Raw genomic sequence first — 20,004 nt, forward strand, 5'->3', positions numbered from 1 at the left:
AGTCTTGTTCTTGTCCCCCAGGCTGGAATGCAATGGCATCATCTCGGCTCACTGCAACGTCTGCCTGCCGGGTTCAAGTGATTCTCCTGCCTCAGCCTCCCGAGTAGCTAGGATTACAGGTGCCCGCCACCACGCCCAGCTAATTTTTGTATTTTTACTACAGACAGGGTTTCACCATGTTGGCCAGGCTGGTCTCGAACTCCTGACCTCATGATCCACCCACCTCGGCCTCCCAAAGTACTGGGATTACAGGTGTGAGCCACCGCGCCCGGCCAACCAAACAGACTCTTAAGTCTTTCAGAAGAGAACAGGGTTATCACAACCATAATCTGATACTCTGTTATAGTCCCAGCGAAAAGCAGCTTTCATTCTCGGGCATGACAAAAGCTAGGGAGCTTTCTAAGGAAAATGGGACTAGAAGGGAGAATGTCACCCAGACTGGGGTTAGATCAGTATCTGGAATCAGTTGCCACTAACAAAAGGCTAGCAAATACACTTCTTGGAAAAAGAGGGATTTTTAAAATTATACATCTTTGTAAAAGTTTTCAAGTTCACAGTATTATCAAATCAAGGGAGATGAAAAGCTGGTAGTAGCAGTTGCTCCTAGAATCACTACTAGTCTCAGGATGGAAAACCCCAGATTTTCTCCCCGAGTTATGCAGGACTAATTTAGACGAAGAGCTGCACTCTTTCTTTAGTTTGCCAAGTATCAGATTTTACATCAACATAAGAAGAGAATAAATAACTATATGCTGTATTTCCTAGACGTGCCTATGTAAATAAAATGACAAAGGCTCTGATGTCCTAATAGTGAATTAGGACATCAGAATCTCCAGGGGAAATTATAAAGGGAGGTCTTCATGTATACAGAAGTAAATTTACCACAAACATCAATCTATAAAAAGGGGACAAAAAACAAACAGCAGTTGTGTTCCAGCAAACCTAGAAGGAGAAAGATGGATCTAAAAATAAGATTTATGGGTGACAGAGCCTTTGCAGATTAAAAGAACGAATGAATGAAGGAACAAATGAACGAATGAACGAATGAATGAAAAAAATTAAAAACAGGTTTAAGGATGCTGGTACCATACAGGGAAGAAGGAAAGAAGGGGTGACGGAGCCAATGACACCACTGTATGTATGTGTCTGTATGTATATATATATATATGCATAGCTCAAGAAAACATAACAAAGAGGCCAGAAAAGGAATTCTAATTTTAAAATCTACTGCACTCACTGCAAACTAGGAAAATAAATCCTATTTAATCAATGTTATATATTGTTATATAAAGTGTATTAATTTTTATTCTTAAAGATGGTCACTCAGAACCTCCATAAATTGTAATGTCTTTATCTGAATCCCTTCTGAACTATTTGTTATTCTGAATAAATTTCTGTATCTAAAGTATTATACCTAAAGTGAGGAAAATAAGACTTGAAATATTCCCAGTAAGAAACAAATGATTTTATTTTCAGGCTAATCAGTCAGTTATAGCAGACTAAGATGGGCAAAACCAAATACGGAATTTTAAAAACCCTACATGATAATAAATTTGGTGCATTCCCTTACGTAAATTTTCTTGCTACAGATATTCTTCTAAAACTTATGGGCTTTAAACTGTTTTCCTAAGCATACTCGTACCTATACACTCATGTATAGTTCATAATCCACAGGTGTGAACTAGATGGGATTAGGTAGGCAATCTATATTCAAGCTGACCAAAATGAAGCTAAAAGCCTGTCTGAAACATAAACTCATAACCTTTGTCTCATCAGCAATGCACTCCAACTGTTAAAAGATTCAAACATCAACTTGGATTTGAAAAGAGTGGGAGGCAGTGAAATACTAACAGGGAGAAAATTTATGGAGTCTATGCAAAATTTTCTATTAATGAAAACCAGCTGCAAGAACAACAGATGCCGTTTTCAGTATTTGAGCCTGGTGGAATACTAACGGGGTTTCTTCTATTCCAAGTTTCCATTTTGGAAGCAAGGCCTTGAAGTCATTATTCCCTCAGGGTCATGGGCACTCTACAGAATACCTTTCCAAAACAACTGTTCTAGAGTCTGAATTTTCTGTCCATTAGATGTGTACAGTGTCTCTCTGAAGAGCCATTTAAAGCCATCCTTGTATGTGAAGTTTCCCCCAAAGGAAAATTGAGACCTAACTCTGTTCTATCTATGTGATCCATAAGACCTGTAGCAAAGTCTAATTCAAAGTTGTTAATTTTAGACTTAACACCAATATCAGGGATATAGGCCACTAATAAAACACTGTGATAAAATATTAATCACTGATTATTTTCACCATAATCTATTTGATTGCCACAAACTTAACTCTACCACTTGGTAAATATTTTTTCCCAAGCTTTGGTTAATTAGTCTTGTTCCCACACAGCCCATAAATCAATTTTAAAATTGTTTGCATGTAACCATCATAATATTTAATATATTCTACCATCTGCCCCAACACCAGTTAACAGCAATAAAAGATATAGATATAGATATAGATATAGATATAGATATAGATATAGATATAGATATAGATATACACATACATGTGGGCTTTGTTTTCCTAACTTAGGACAGCCAGTTCTTCCAGTATAGATCTTACATAATTTTGGTTTGCAGAAATTGCCCCTAGGAAATTCAGAAAGTGGCTTTACCCAAAATGAGGAAAATCACTTACATAAGCTTTTAAGACTAGAAACTGATCAGCAGCCATTTCTCATACCAATACATCTCTCCATCCTAGGATTATGTGGAAGAGAATATATTATCCCTAGAATCATGAAGGTTGAGTAAAATTTCTGTAAAAGGTACCTTTGGCACCCCAGACAACTGTTAAGAAAAAAGAATATCTGTACTCAAATCATTATACTGTCGACTCAAAACCCATTATAAAAGTGGCTTGAAAATGAAAAAGCAAAAAACAAACCTCAATCTTGTCTGTTTTGGCATCTCCCCAGTATATTTTGCCTTCATCATAATCCAAGGCTAAACCATTTGGCCAACCAAGAGAAGTGTTAACCAATACTACACGGTCAGAACCATCCAGAGCTGCTCGCTCAATTTTCGGAATTTCTCCCCAGTCAGTCCAATACATGTACCTAGAGAAGTATACAAAAAATGAGCTAAAAATAGATAATAAAATGTAACTTTCAGATATTCTAAAGGTGAGATCCATCCCTCCTATTACACTGGTATCATCAGTTAATGCCAAGGAAGGGGAAAAAAAAAAAAACATATGAAGAGGTGTTTAAGACATTTATCCCAGCAATATATAAGATTGTGGGAAATTTTCAGATCAGTGTGTTCTAGAGCCAATCCTGAAAATGCCTCCCAATAATGAGATTACAGTTTTACTTCTTTTTTTTTTTTTTTTTTTTAAATATTTTGTGTGCCCTTTTCCATGAACTTTCTCTCTCTTTTCCTTGATGGCTTGTCATCTCTCTGACACAAAAGGCTTATCCCAGCAGTATTAGTCAGATGGCAAACTGAATTCTCAAAATAACTATTTCTTCCTGCAGTGCTAAGTGATTCTTACGGCTCCTGGATGTTTAGATGGCTCTAAGGCATTGGTATATACTGAGGTGTAATTTGTCACTATGCTTGTCCTCAGAATAAATCTCAAAGTAACAAAATTGTTGAGTATGTAAAAAGTTGTACTTCCCTGGACTATGATCAGGGTGGCATGGCAAAACAAAACAAACAACAACAACAAACTAGAAGTAAAGCTGCATGGGCTGGCAAAGTTTTGGAAATCAAGTCATTCATGTATTTAGGGAAAAAAAAGTAAGCTATATTCTTACTATAAAGTACTGAAAATGGAATTAAAGCTTCTAGGGGAAGGGAAAGAGTTCTGAAAACAATTTCTTCCCACATTTTTCATGGTAATGATGCAATCCGAGCAAAATCTGCAGACAACACCCAAAGTCAGCAAACATGGACTTAATTTAGAAAGAAAAAATATCTAAGACATCCAAGGCAAAAAACTAGCAATTTTTAAACTTGAGATTGTATTCTAATCACCATATCCTAAAATAGACAGCCATTAAAGAGCTGTTTACTGGAAACCAATATATATGTCATGTTATCTTAGTCAATGTTTTCAGGAACCTGTGAAAAACAGAAACACCACACAGAATTTACTATCAGTAGAGCTTCTTACCCAACCATGGGATCTAACACAATAGCCCGGGGTTCCTCTAAGTCCTCTGAAATCAAGATCTTCCTCATGGTCCCATTGAGCCTTGTCACTTCTATTCGATCAGTGCCAGTGTCTGTCCAATAAAGATTTCGTGCAACCCAGTCCACAGCAATACCATCAGGATGGGCAATTTGAGCAGTGACCACAAACTGACTGCCAGATCCATCTATAAATGAACGGCGTATGGCCCTCACTTCATCATCAGTCCAGTAGATGTAGCCTTCCACAGGATCGTAATCTATGGCAATGGCATGACGGATGTCTTCTAACTGCAGAACAATGTCTGTAAAATCTGGTGTATCCAAAGAAATGCGTCTCAAGTCTGTCCTTCGAGCTAAAAGCAATAATTCTGTGGCACCTAGAACAACAAAGTGAAATGAAGAATACTTTGAAACCCAGAGGTAAAATTTACCTGCTCTAGATAAAGAATCAAGAACTGAAAAATAAATATAAAATATACATAAATTAACACAAAAGGATGTGCACTCTCTTTAGAGTGGAAATGGAAAGTAATACAGTGAAATAGAAGAGTCTACTCTGAGGTCAAGCTGTTTAATGGCTAACTCTCCAAATTAAGTTGTGATACATTCTATGGTTTCATTGGAATTAATCCAGCTATTTAAAAGTACAATGAATAATGACTATGTAATGACTAAGAAGCTAAGTAGCTCAGTATTAAAGGAGAAGGAAATGTAGGATATAGATCCTTTGTTCAAGAAGCATTTTTTAAAAAAAGATAAAGAAATTTAGGACAAGAATCTTTGTGCTTGATAGGAATGTTCTAAAATTGGATTGTGGTGATAACTGCGTAACTCTGTAAATTTACTAAAAAGTCACCGAATTGTACAATTTAAAAAATGGATGGATTTTATATGCTATGTAAGTTACATCTCAGTAAAACTGTCTTAACAAAGAGAAATACAGGGCAATACCTCACAGAATTGAGGACAAAGCAAGCTATGGAGAAACAAACAGCTGCAATGGAGGGAAGGAACCAGATAAACATAACACAGTGGTTAAGAGTTGTGGATCCAATATAATTTGATTCAAGAAGCTACACAAACTTTGGGAAAATATCTAATCTCGCTAAGCCTAGTTTCCCCATCTATACCTTGTAAGGTTGTTGTAAGGATTAAAGGAGATAAATCTAAAACTCAGGAAAGTACTGAACATTTAAGTACTCAAGAAATATTAACTAATACTTAACAACAGTATTAAAAAATAAAGATTTTCAGATTTTTATTTCACTGAATTTTAAATTAGGTTTATTTATGAACTGTTTAAAGCCCAAGCCCCAAATACTTAACCACATAACCAAGAATGAAGATACTGAGCTCAATCTTTTTTTCATTTTAAATTGTTCAAGTAAACCACCAGCAAAAAATCGTCTAACTATAGGAAGCTAATAAAAGACAGTAAGCAAATTGACAACTGAAAGAATAAGAAAAGATTCCCAGCTAAATAAATGAGTCCAAAACAAAATACTGGCATATAAACTTCAAGAATCAATCTGCAATTACAAGTCAAAAAACTGAGAAGAGGAGTGAAGCCTCTCAATATCAGCCCTTTCACTCTAGAGCTAATTATAAATGAATTCCAACTTGAAGAAAATACAGCCCAAATGCCACTGCAGGAACCAAGTAGGAATAACTTTGTACAATTCACTGCCCCGGCTAACAACCAAAAGGAGCCAGCCTAGAACTTCACAAAGAAGTCATAGAGCTGTTAATTTGAGCAAGGTGATCAAAACAGAACAGTTAACTTAAGGCTACTACATGCCAAATGCACACATGAAATTCAAAACTGGTTAAATATGTACACTTGCACTGCTGTGAGGGAGCAGATAGACCATTATTGCTAAAATAAATCCTCTGTTTTAAAGTCAGGCTACATTTTTAAAGAAAAAAGCAACATTACAAAAACCTTTTGTTTTAAATTGAAACCAAATTGCTGTCTGCCATGGAAACCATTTGACCAAGAGTCAGCCAGCTTCACCTTTTACTATGAGGATAATTTATCAATGCCAAGTCATAACAAACATCCTGTACACAGACTCAATTCCATCTCTCTGACTCCCTGGCCCCCTTGCCAGGGACTCTAACACACTCCAAAACACAGGCTTCTGCTTTTCAGAGTTAGATAAAGAAGCCACAGCTAAATACAACAATTTTCTTACCAGGTCTTGCTGGTTGCTAGAGAACCAGATGGTGATCCATAGGGGTGAGAATGAAGAATAACATTCTCATTAAGAAGAAAAACAGAAGAACTGGTGTTCTTCCAAACTGGAAGTCCCTTAAAATGTCCTAAATCAGTATACTTTCTCCAACGTGCCCTCTCTCTATAGGGAATTAAGAGTAAGGAGAACAGGCAAAGTGTGTTTCTTAAGTATAAAAAGAAGTTGTTTTAAATATGGATTTTTTTTCCCAGCTCTGAAAGCATCTCTCTGTTGTTAAAAAGCAATTTAAAACATCCTTAAATAATTTGTTATAAAATATATCTCATGATATTCTTTGTAGCTAAAAGTTTAATAAACATACTTTCTTTCACAGAGGTTCTTTATTCACAAATGCTACCTGTTAAAAATATATTCCTTATGCGACTACTCATTTCCATAGTTATCAACTGTGATATCAATGACTATGAGATTTGACAGAAAAGATACAACACGTAACTTTTTTCAAAAATATGTTATTTAAAACACTAAAATAATTTATAAAATAGCATTCAAGTGATGCCACAGAACAAAACACTCCTATTCTATAACCATGTGTGAAGACTGTGAAATTAAGTGACTGGTCTCCCAAAGCAGTATAACCTAGAGAGCTGATTATAGAGAAAACAAATCATGAAGAATTCCAATAGTTATAAAATTTTTCATTTTGGATAATATCTTCTTACCATCTTTGCAGGTTTTTCCATTCTCCAGGAGTTTGACCCCAGTGGGGCAAGCACACTGATAAAAAGGCTTGACTGGAGACATCAAACACAAATGGGAACAACCCCCATTGTCAATTCCACATGGATTTGTGGCTGTCAAATATAAATCACATTGATTAATATCAATGATTACTAAGTACACAAAGGTTAACAACCATAACATGAACAACTGTGATAAGCCAAAATTATTACCAAATGTCATGCAGGTGCTTGACTATCAAACCATCTGCAAAGACAGGAATTAATCAGTGTGAATTTACTTAGTATTTTGTAACCAAAGAGGAATACACAAGAAGTAAAGCAGGAGATCCCTGCCCTAAAAGAGGTTACAATTTAGTCAGTTAAACAAAATTAACAAAAAGCAAAACTAAAAACAAACAAACAAACAAACAAAACCAATAAAACTAAGTGCTATTTTGCACATTATAGACAATAAGTACAGAGTCAAATGGGAAAAAAACCGCTGAGGTTTAAAGAATTGAAGAAGAGCTTTGTGGAGTATACAGCACGGGAGCCTTCAAGGATAGGAAGGATAGATAAGAGGACATTTCAAGTATGGTAAAGCTATCTGAATAAAACTTTGGGGGCTATAAACTGGGTAAGATATTAAGGTGAACAGTATAACTGGAGGTTAAGGTTTCTACTGACTAATAGGAACTAAAGCTGAATGAATACAAAGAATGGGAATAGATTAAAGTGAAGGACACTGAAAGCCAAGAAAAGTAATTATGTTGAAAAGTCATGCCTTGGGAAGATTAACATAGAAGGGATAAGCAGAAAAAAGGGGAAAATGAAAATCAGAGAAAACTAATTAGCAAACTTTGGAAATTATGGAAAGGGATATGTCCAAACAATACTCATAGAAAAAAATCAACATAAGATGGAGACCAATGGAACATGAAAGATAAAAGTAACCAACATGAAAGATAACTGCAAATTCTCAAATTAGTAAAACATAAAGGACCAACAATGCCATTTAAAAAGAAAAACAAGAGGCCAGGCACGGTGGCTCGTGACTATAATCCCAGCACTTTGGGAGGCCTAGGTGCGTGGATCACTTGAGCCCAGGAGTTTGAGACCAGCCTGGGTCACCAACATGGTGAGACCCTACCTCTATAAAAAATACTAAAATTAGCCAGGTGTGGTGGCATATGCCTGTAGTCCCAGCTACTAGGGAGGCTGAGGTGGAAAGATCACTTGAGCCTGGAAGTTCGAGGCTGCAGGGAGCCGTGATCACATAAACGCACAACAGAGCAAGACTCTATCTCAAAAAACAAACAAAAAACAGGGAAAATTCTCTTTTGAGGGCTATGAAGAATAAAAAAATTCATACAAGTGACTGAACATTTTCTTTTGTACAGAAGAGTAACACATACACTTAAAAACATTTTTATGGGCTCATGATCATCAGATTCCAACATAACACTTTCAATATTTGATTATCTCCCCCTAAATGGAGAGCTAATATAAAGCAACATATGTTGCAAAATCTCTTCATTTTTGGCTATGTAATAAAATCTGAAATACACTCAGACAGATGCCAGACATTTATTTACACAAAAGTGCCAAACCCTTAACATTCTCGTATTCCTTTTAAACCTAATTCCAGTCCTCTCTTACAAGTTCTCAGCAGTCATAGCCCGAGTCATTGTAAAGGCTGACCAAACACAGAACCAAAACTAAGGAAAACAAGGTGGGAGGGGTACACAGAAAAGTTTAAGTAGGTATTTTATTTAGCAAGCTGAGGTACTTAAATTCAAATATATTCTAGATTAACAGAGTTTTCATTTAAAAAGAAGAGGCGTTTTTGTGTGTGTGTGTGTTTTTTGTTTTTTTTTTTTTTGAGACATAATTTCTTTCTTGTTGCCCAGGCTGAAAGTGCAATGGCGTGATCTTGGCTCACTGCAACCTCTGCCTCCCGGGTTCAAGCGATTCTCCAGCCTCAGCCTCCCAAGTAGCTGGGATTATAAGCACACGCCACCACGCCTGGCTAATATTTTTGTTATTTTAGTAGAGACGGGGTTTCACCATGTTGGCCAGGCTGGTCTCAAACTCCTGACCTCAAGTGATCCACCTGCCTTGGCCTCCCAAAGTGTGGGATTACAGGCATGAGCCACCGCGCCTGGCCCAAGAGTTTGTTTTTTAAACACACTCACATCAACACATTCAACTACATACTGAAAGAAATAATATGAACAAAAAAACTCATTTGTGTATAAGCCTAGCATATAAGCTATCTCAATTTTTAAATTATCTCTCTCTTCTCCACCTCTAAAAGCGCTGACTCAAAAAGGCTGAGGTGGTCTGTAGTGACAGGCTACAAAATGGTCTAGGCTATTGCCTAACCTGAATTATACTTTTACATTTTCCCTTTTTTTTGAGCAAAGTCTCGCTCTGTTGCCCAGGCTGGAGTGCAGTGGCACAATCTCGGCTCACTGCAATCTCCACCTTCCGGGTTCAAGTGACACTCCTGCCTCAGCCTCCCAAGCGGCTGGGACTACAGGTGCACACTACCACACCCCATTAATTTTTGTATTTTTTAGTAGAGACAGGGTTTCACCAGGTTGGCCAGGCTGGTCTCAAACTCCTGACCTCATATGATCTGCCTGCTTCAGTCTCCCAAAGTGCTGGGATTTTAACTTTTTTTTTTTTTTTTTTGAGACACAGTCTTTCTCTGTCTCCCAGGCTGGAGTGCAGTGGCGCAATCTCAGCTCACTGCAACCTCGGCCTCCCGAGTTCAAGTGATTCTCTTGCCTCAGCCTCCCAAGTAGGATTTTAACTCTTTTTTATTCCCGCCAACTATCTTTGGATATGCCCTCCCTCCTCCTGATCCTCACTAAAGCCAGACATTAGAGTGCTACAAAGCTGTTCCAACTTGCAATTTAAAAATCAAGGATCACTTACCATTTGGCTGCCTCTGTTGGCTGAAGGCATGTATATCCATGGGAGAGAAGATGTCAGAATGGATTTCACGCAGACCCTCACCAGTATACTTGTTGCAAGCCAAAATGGAGTGTGTGCTCCAGTCAGTCCAGTACAATATGTCCTCAAATAACGTCAAGGCAAAAGGATGTGGAAGGGAACCTTTAACCACTGCCTGCCTATTAACATAAAGAGAAAAATTTAAACTTATTTCTAAATTTTCTTCTTCTATCATAACGTCACCTCTCCCATTAAAATGATCTTAGTTCACATTAACACATACAAATCTTGAGTAATACATACCAATAGGTCAAATACACCTATAAAAAATAATTCACATAATGAATTCATATATATTTTTAAGGTGTCCAAAAGCCCCAAACAAGCATTTGGGAATAGTCCCTAACTTGGCAGCAGCCTCAAGTTCAGTACAAGATACCCGGCAGAGAGAGAGCACTGCTTTTTCATTGTTTGCACTGCTGTCAAATCCTACTCTTCAACTACCATCTCTGGACTCACAGCTTCCACCCTTTCACACAATTCATGTCATCAGACAGAGAAAGGTAAGCAATGAGAAAAATCACAGGGGTTACAGTTGGCACTGAAGTAGATTTATATCAGCAATAGGTTTTTTCCTTCTTGATGTGGAAGAACAAAGAACCTGAGCCTGTTTTGTCCATCACTTCTTATGGTTTTGATAACTGAGAATGAAACATAAACATGAGGCCAAAATGGCATGCAGGTAGCACTCTCCCCGCAAACCCCAGTCTAGCTCCAGCAAGTGATCATCTTAGCTGACTTTTCACTATATTCAGGCAGCCAAAAAGAAGTCCTGTTAGTGGTAGAATATGTTCATGAGACAAAGCAGATCCAAAATTTTCACAAGCAATACATACTTTTTAAAAGGAAAAGTAGACAGCCTAGTTAGTACTTAAGGCACAGAACTTTGTAGAGTATTAGAGAGAGTTATAGAATAAGCAAATGCTGAGGGCCGGGCGCAGTGGCTCACGTCTGTAATCCCAGCACTTTGGGAGGCCGAGGTGGGTGGATCACAAGGTCAGGAGTTCAAGACCAGCCTGGCCAAGATGGTAAAACCCCATCTCTACTAAAAATACAAAAAAATTAGCCAGGCGTGGTGGTGGGCGCCTGTAATCCCAGACACTCGGAAGGCTGAGGCAGAGAACTGCTTGAATCCAGGAGGCGGAGGTTGCAGTGAGCCGAGATCGCGCCACTGCACTCCAGCCTGGGCGACAGAGCGAGACTCATCTCAAAAAAAAAAAAAAGAAAAAAAAAAGAATAAGCAAATGCTCTGGAATAATGAACAAATCACGTTTTGAGTCAAAATAATATTCAAGAAAATACATGTTTTGATATTTTCATAAATCCAAGTTTCCCAATAGCCCACCCAGGAGGCAGAGATGGGCAGAGAGGGAGGAAGGGAAAGAAAAATGAAGGGAAAAGGGAAGGGAAAGCATAAGCTACTGAAGAGAAATTAAAAGTATCATATATTTTAAGGAAGATGATTCAATTTTCAGGTCCTTGAGGTTAACTGATGATTTCTACTATCTAACAGACTACCAGCATATTAAATTAAAAGCAATTAAGGTCATTTTTACGTGTAAGCAGGATTACCGTCTGTGATTGCACATGGAATGATCTTAGTCTAAAGCATTATAAATTCAGACAAAATACCTGCACTGCCAACCCATATCACCAGTTTTCTCATTTTCCTTAATCCTCTCTTCCCTAAGTAAAAAGCTCACTATTCCTTCTAATTTCCCAAAGAGAACTGTCACAATACCTTCTCCTGAAGTGCTTTCTTCCACTTTTTAAATGGACAGTTTTATTAAATTTACTAAAGAGACTATATTATTTACAGGGTGATGGCACAGTTTATGTTCAATTTTAAACAGGCCTGTATATTTCACACTAAAGTCTTCCAAAATTCATGGTGGAAACAGAGAGAGAACTGAGAAAGCTGCCAAAAAAGACAAGTAACACAAATGAAAAATAAAGAGTAGTTAAAACTAAGTTACTTGGCATTTCACCATCTTAAAGAACTGCTTTGAAAAACTCAAGGAAAAAAAAGGCTTCAAAAAGTTTTGTATATCATTAAGTGAAAAGTTGAAATTCACTCTACTGAACTAAACATAGGAAAATAAACATATGGAAAAGGCAAAATCCCTAAAAGCTATATTCATTTTATATATTAATTGAATGCATAAACTTAGAACTCAGAGGTGAGCTTAAATCCCCCCTTGACACTTATTACTGACACCATTTCTGCAAGCTTTATTTCTTCATCTGTCAACGGAAGGTAATAATCTATCCTCACTGCGTTAATGTGAAGATTAAATAACATACGCAAAAGCCATTCAGCACTACGCTTGCTACTTAACACTTTCGTTAATGATTCCTCAATTTTAAGACACATATTTTCAATATTTTAACATTTCTGATATAAGGGTAACATTTACAATGTGAATATTTCATGTGGTAGTTTTTAAAATCAGTAAGTTCTTAAAATCAATGGCTTATTAGAATCAGTAAATACTATACTAATATTAATTTTTTTTTTGAGACAAAGTCTTGATCTTGTCACCCAGGATGGAGTGCAGTGGTGTGATCCTGGCTCACTGCAACCTCCGCCTCCAGGGTTCAAGCAATTCTCCTGCCTCAGCCTCCCAAGTAGCTGGGATTATAGGCATGCACCACCATGCCTGGCTAATTTTGTATTTTTAGTAGAGATGGGGTTTCACCATGTTGACCAGGCTGGTCTCAAACTCCTGACCTCAGGTGATCTGCCCACCTTGGCCTCCTAAAATGCTGGGATTACAGGCGTGAGCCACCGAGCCCGGCCTTAACACTAAATATAAATGTCACTTTCTTTTCATAGCCATTCTTAATTTCCTCCCGCCACAAGCCAAGTTAGTTTTCTTTCTCTACGTTCTCATAACAGTTAGTGAACTGTTTTATAACTGTTCACCTATCCAGCAACTCTATAACAGATGACCTTTTTGAGAGTAAAACTCTAGCTTATTTATATACCAAGGATCCCACACAATGGTAAGGTGTACAAATTAGGCAGACTTACTAAACACTCTGGGGATGCTTGATAAAATTAAATGTTTTTAAGAAAATATGTAATTAACAGAGCTGAACAAAAGGCAGAACTAAGAACACTATCATGCAAGGGTGATATAATGATTTGTCCAGCCAACTATGACTTGTTCCTGAAAGTAGGGATAACCACACAGAGTATTCCCCTTTCTTCTCTCTGGCTGAGATTACCAAGTAAGCCTACCTCCTGATCCCCATCTGGAAACACAAGTTACTTCAAGGAGGAGTTGATCATGGCTGCTAAGAACCAAGCTGGCAGGTAAGATCCAAGCCCAGTTCCTCAATAGTAGGTCACAACGATAACAGAAACTAAAAAATGGATCACCAAACTGGGGACCACAGAAAAGAAACAGAGACTCCCCCCAACCTCACTGAAGTTTTCATATAGTGCTTGCAATCTCTGAGCATCATCTCCTGCCTATGTCTGTCACATTCTGCAACTTACTGATAAAGCTCACCACTGCCAATACCTCCCAGGCACCTCTTGCTAGCTCTTTGAGATTCTTTGAACTCTGCAAGTGGTTCTTTTAAACTCTGCACCAACTGGACTTATCCTTTATAAAACACCTGCATGCCCTCATTTAGTTTTTGTTTCTGGACCTCCTCACAGATAGTCATCTTCTGCTCCTCTCTCAGAACTGCCCACTTGTGTGAGTAATAAATCTTTCTTTAATCATACCACAGGACTGCTGTCATGAGTTCTGACATCTGAACTTAACCTTGGAAGGAAGCTTCCCTTCACCACAGTGAAGCTGTAATAATATCTAAGAAGACAATGTCAGCAGTGATGGCAAAGCTTTGGAAAAATCTCCATGAATCCTCCATGTGAAAACAGAGAACAACTAGGTAATGAACCCCAAATCCCATGGACAACATTCACAACAAAGCTAGGTAAAACCCAAGATACAAAATGGTAGAGAAAACTACCAACAGCCATTAAGATATGACTGATATTGGCACCTCTGCAGGATATGAGAAAGAAACAATAGGACATCTGGCAGGACAGAACACATAAAACAGACAACATTGGAAAGCTTAGTAGACCAATCTGAGAACAGCAACCAGCTATGAGGTGTTCTGGCCACTTCAAGAGTAAGTGAATACAATGAATTCATCGTCAGGCACTGAAAGGTCTAGCACTATACTTTAACCTATTGTGAACTCTCAAAATTGTCCTTCCCGGGCTCCCTTCCAGACAAAGCGTCATACTGAAGAGAAATCACTGGGAGCGGACTGAAAAGTGTGCATGATTGGTACAGGAGAACAATGGGAAAATAAGGTACAGAAAAAAGCAGAAAAAGTAAAGTGGGAGAGCCAGGAAATCCAGAAAGCTAGCTGCCATTATTTTTTAAACACATATACATAGACATGAGAGTTCTGTGAAACTGGAGAACTTATGAACTCTGCCTTCTTCTGAATGTTCAAGCAAAACAGTTTCACCTGAAAATAAGAAAACAAATTACTAACATCAAATCCCATTAATAAGTTAATATTAAAAATAAGAAAAGGATAAAGTGAAGAATAACATTCCTACAGACAATAAAAAAGTATGCCAGAAAGATATAGAAATAGAACAAATTAAACTGATAACTTATTTCAAAACAGTCAAAGTATTTAAAGTAAGATACTAGTCATAAATGAACAACACAAATTAGAATCAGACAACTCACAAGTGAGGGGACAGAACTTGAAAGAATGAGAAATACAAAAATACATCATTTCAGAAATGAAGTCTACGAAATAAGAATGAATAAACATAATACATAAAGAAAAAAATGAAAAGGAAGAAATATTACATAATAGAAAAAAATATTTTCAAAAAATAAAATATTTGAAGGACAAAGGACAAGGAAGAGAACAGAACTATACTGGAACAAGGAAATGACTCCAGATGGTAACTTGAACCCTCAGGAAAAATGAAGAATACCAGAAATAGTAAATATGCAGGTTAATAAAAAAGACTCTATAAATAATGTTTTCTCTTTTTCCTTTAACCTTTTTAACAGACATAAGATTGTATAAAGCAATAAGTATAACCCTGTGTTAGATATAATAGAAATGAACTATAAATGACAATAATAGCAGAAAGGATGGGAGAGAGAATGGAGATATACTTAGAGTAAAATGTATGTACTTTTCATAATTAAGTTAATATTACCACAAAGTAGATTTTGACAAAATGCACGTTGCAATCCCTAAAATAATTACCTTTAAAATCCCCAAAATACAGTTTAAAATTATCAACCAAGGAATCAAAATGACACACCAGAAAATATCTACTTAATACAAAGGACAAAGGAACAAAGATGACATAAGATAATTTAAAAAAAAAAAAACACTAAAATGTCAGACATAAGCCCAACCATATCATTAATGACATTCAATGTGAATAAACACACCAATCAAAAGGCAAAGGCTGTTAGACTGAATAAAGCAAAGGTTACACTATATGCTGTTTATAAAAGCACATTTTACATTCAAAGATACAAATAGATTGAAAAGAAAAGGTTACAGTAGACAGTAACCATAAGAGAGCTGGAGCAGCTCTATCAGACAAAAAAGATTTTAAGTATAAAAAGGTAACTAGAGATACAGTGGCAGGTTTTATGAGAAAGAGTCATCAGGAAGTTACAATTAGAAACATACAGGTACCTAAAAACAGAGCCCCAGAACAAATGAAGCAAAACCTGACAGAAATCAAAGGAAAAATGGGCAGTTCAATAATATAGTTGGAGAGCTCAACACCCTATTCTCACTAAAGGAAAGAACAACTAGATAGAAAATTACCAAGGATATAGAAAATTTGAACATTATTAACCAACTTAACCTACTATCTATAGAACATTCCATGCAACAAAAGAATACACAATCTTTTCACGTACACGTGGAACTTTCTCCAGGACACCACATGCTAGGAGACAGAATTAATCTTAAAAGACTGAACTCATATAAAATAAAAAGACTGAACTCATATAAAATAGACTACTATCTGACCATAATGAAATTCATGAAGAAATCAACGGAAGAAAATTTGGGAAATCAAATTATTTTCTAAATTTTTGAAATTTCTTTCTCAATTTCCTCTAAATCAGCAATGAGTCGAGGAAGAAATTACAATAAAAGTTTTTAAATATTTTGAGCTAAAAGAAAATGAAAATACAAAATATGGAAACGTATATAGAATACTAATGCCTATACTAGAAAAGAAGAGAGATTACAAATCAATTATTTATGATTTGACCTTAAGAAACTGTAAGAAGAGTAGATTAAATCCAAAGCAAGTGTAAGGAAGAAAATAAAAACATTAGGGTTAAAAAAAAAAAAGGCAATGAAACAGAAAACAGAAAAACAATAAAGGGGGAAAAATCAATAAAACCAGAAGCTGGTTGTTCTTTGAAAAGACCCACAAAATTGACAACCCTTTAGTGCTAGACTGACCCAAAAAAAAAGACGCAAATTGTGAAAACTGTGAATAAAGTGATGAATGAAAGAGAAACACTGCCTTACAGAAATTAAAAGGATTATTAGGCAATACCATAAACAACTTTATGCCAACAAATTAGACAAATTTATGAAACAAAAATATTCCTGGAAAAAAACCAAATTACTAAAACTGACTCAAGAAGAAACAGAAAATCTGATAGATCTACAACAAACAAGGAAATTGAATTTGTAATTAATATCTTCCCAAAAAGAAATCCCCATGCCCAGATGGCAGGAAAAGTTGTATCAACTGGTCACACACTTTTCCAGAAAACAAAGAAAGAGGAAATATCTTCCGACTCTATGAGGCTGATATTATGCTAATCTCAAAACCAAATAAACACAAGAAAAACAGACTACGGATTAATATCCTTCACTATTAAAGACATAAAAATCCTCAACAGAATATTAGCAAACCAAATCTAACAACATTTCAAAAGAAGTATAAACCACGACCAAGTAGAACTTACCCCAGAAATGCAAGATCGGTTTAACAACTGAAAACCAATTACTGAAATTCACCATGTTCATAAAATAAAGAATAAAACCACATAATCATTTCCATAGATGCAGAAAAAGGAACGGACAAAATCCAGTAATTATTCATGGTAAATCTGTCCATGAACTAGGAATAGAAAGGAACTTCCTCAACCTGATAAAATCCCTTTATTAAAAAAACCTACAGGTAATATCATGCTCAAGACTATTTTTAATCTTTTTTAAAAAATAAAGCCAATACAGAGAAAAACATACAAAACAAACATATAGCTTAACAAGTTACTATAAGGCAAACACTCTTGTAACCACGAATTCACTCAGATGAAGGAAAAAAACTTGATCTGGGTGAATCACCCAGACGACTTCAAAAGGCCCTGCATGAACCCTGTCCCAATCCCTCCCTCTCCATAGAAGTAACAATTATTCTGATTTTCTATTAGTCACTTTCTTGCCTTTATAGTTTTATTGCTTTTTGTAAGTGTGCATCCACAGAAAAATAGTTTAGTCTTAAGCCCCATTTTCATTTGCTATTTCTTTTAAAGTCTCTGTTTTAAAAAATGTTTAACTGGTACATAATAATTACACATATTTGTGGGGTACACAGCAATGTTGCAATATATATAAGGTACCGTGATCAGCTCAGGGTAATCAGCATATCCATAATCTCAAACATTTAACATTTCTGTGTTGGAAACATTCAGTATCCTCTTTGAAATTATATAATGTTTTACCTATTAAGTACAGTCATCCTACAGTGGTATAGAATACTCAAGCTTTTTCTAACTGTAATTCTGTATTTTTTAGCAAATCTCTTCTTATCTCTTCCTTCCCAGCCTCTAGTATCCCCTATTCTACTCTTTACTTTTGCAAGATCAACATTTACCTTCCACATACGAGTGAGAACATGCATGGTTTAATTTTCTGTTCCTGGTCCTATGTCACTTAAGATAACATCCTCCAGGTCTATCCATATTGCTGAGAATGACAGGATTTCATTCTTTTTATGGCTAAATGGTATTCCATTGTGTATATATACCACATTTTCTTTATCTATTCATCTGATGTTGGACACCTAGGTTGATACCACATCTTGGCTACTGTAAATAGTGCTGCAACAAACATAGGGGTGCAGATGTCTCGATACACTGATTTCCTTTCCTTTGGGTAAATGCCAAGTAGTGGGACTACTGGATCATATGGTAGTTCTATTTGTAATTTTTTGAGGAACTTCCATACTGTTCTCCATAGCGGCTGTACTAGTTTATACTCCCACCAACAGTGTATAAGAGTTCCCTTTTCTGTGCATTCTTGACCGTATTATTTTTTGTCTTTTTGGTAATAGCCATATGGTAACTAGGGTGAGATGATACTTCATTGTGAATTTAATTTGCATTTCCTGGATGATTTGTGATGTTGAGCATTTTTTCATATGTTTGTGGCCATTTATATGCCTTCTTTTGATACATGTCTATTCGGATCATTTCCCCATTTTTTAACCAAACTGGTTTTTTGCTGTTGAACTGTTTGAGTTCCCTGTATATTCTGGATATTAATCCCATGTCAGATGAGTAATTTGCAAATATTTTCCCTCATTCTGTAGGTCGTCTTTTCACTGTGTTGTTTCCTTTGCTCTGTAGAAGCTTTTTAGTTTGATATAATGCATCTGGTATTTTTTGCTTTTGTTGCCTGCATTTTTGAGATCTTATCCATAAAATCCTTTCCCAGACCAATGTCCTGAAGCATTTCCTCTATGGTTTCCTCTAGCAGTTTTATAGTTTCAAGTCTTACCCTTAGGTCTTTGATCCATTTTGAGTTGATTTTTGTATAAGGTGAGAGGTGGGTTTCTAGTTTCATTCTTCCACATGTGGATATCCAGTTTCCCCAGCATCATTTATTGAAAAGACTATCCTTTCCCCAATCTATGTTCTTGGCACTTTTGTCAAAAAGCAATTGGCTATAGATGCATGGATTAATTTCTGGGTTTTCTATTCTGTTCCATCGGTGTATGTTTCTGTTTTTATGCCAGTACCATGCTGTTTTGGTTACTACAACTTTGTGGTATATTTTGAAGTCTGTTAGTATGATGTCTCCAGCTTTGTTCTTTTTGCTCAGGATTGCTTTGGCTATTCAGGGTCTTTTATGGTCCCATACAAATTTTAGGATTTTTTTTTTTTTCTATTTCTGTGCAGAATGTCATTGGTATTTTAATAGGGACTCCACTGAATCTGCAGGTTGCTTTGGGTAGTACGGTCATTTTAACTATAATAATTATTCCAATCCATGAGCATGAAATGTTTTTCCATTTGTATGTATCCCTCTTCAATTTCTTTCATCAGTGTTTTGCAGCTTTATCTGAAGAGGTCTTTCACTTCCTTGGTTAAATTTATTCCTAGGTATTTTATTAATTTCTTATAGCTATTGTAAATGACACTGCCTTCTTAATTTCTTTTTCAGCTAGTTTGTTGTTTGTGTATAGAAATGCTACTGATCTTTTTGTGTTGATTTTGTATCCTGCAACTTTACCAAATTTGTTGATCAGTTCTAAGAATTTTTTTTTTTTTGGTAGAGCGTTCAAGTCTCTTTTCCTGTCTGTCTCTTCCTTACAATCTCTCCGTTAAAGTACCTAAGATATTTCATTTATATGTCCAGATCTGCTGATGTACTCTCATGGTGCAGTTCAATGTTTCTCTGTCCTCTGTATTTCCTACAAATGGCCAGCTGATATACAGCCTTGACCAGACTCATGATGAATTGATCCCTTTGACAAAATAGTAGGCAGTAGTGTGTTCTTACACCAGAAGGCAAATAATGTCTGTTCTTTTTCTTCTTGTGAT

General features: G+C 36.3%; 1 protein-coding gene across 16 annotated transcripts in view, besides 1 other annotated feature; it reads right to left on the bottom strand.

The window, feature by feature from the left end:
- LRP6 (LDL receptor related protein 6) overlaps positions 1-20,004 on the bottom strand; it is a 151,020-nt gene that overhangs the window by 60,847 nt on the left and 70,169 nt on the right. For all 16 annotated transcript variants that reach the window (NR_182264.1, XR_002957325.2, NM_002336.3 and 13 more), the window contains 4 exons: positions 10,052-10,248; positions 7,109-7,240; positions 4,172-4,568; positions 2,939-3,110 (listed from right to left, as the gene is read on the bottom strand). Coding sequence is in view for 14 of the 16 variants with exons in the window: in NM_002336.3 (NP_002327.2) it covers positions 2,939-3,110; positions 4,172-4,568; positions 7,109-7,240; positions 10,052-10,248 (898 nt within the window). In the remaining 2 variants the exon portion in view is untranslated. The remainder of the gene's footprint in view (positions 1-2,938; positions 3,111-4,171; positions 4,569-7,108; positions 7,241-10,051; positions 10,249-20,004) is intronic.
- Positions 14,084-14,378: a silencer, noted in NCBI's record as "tiled region #15090; HepG2 Repressive non-DNase unmatched - State 15:Elon, and K562 Repressive non-DNase unmatched - State 6:EnhF". NCBI's record gives its function as "represses a minimal TATA promoter and a strong SV40 promoter by Sharpr-MPRA in HepG2 and K562 cells {active_cell/tissue: HepG2 | K562}" and the evidence as "EXISTENCE:reporter gene assay evidence [ECO:0000049][PMID:27701403]".

This window comes from Homo sapiens, chromosome 12, assembly GCF_000001405.40.
Source record: "Homo sapiens chromosome 12, GRCh38.p14 Primary Assembly".
NCBI classification, from domain to species: domain Eukaryota; kingdom Metazoa; phylum Chordata; class Mammalia; order Primates; family Hominidae; genus Homo; species Homo sapiens.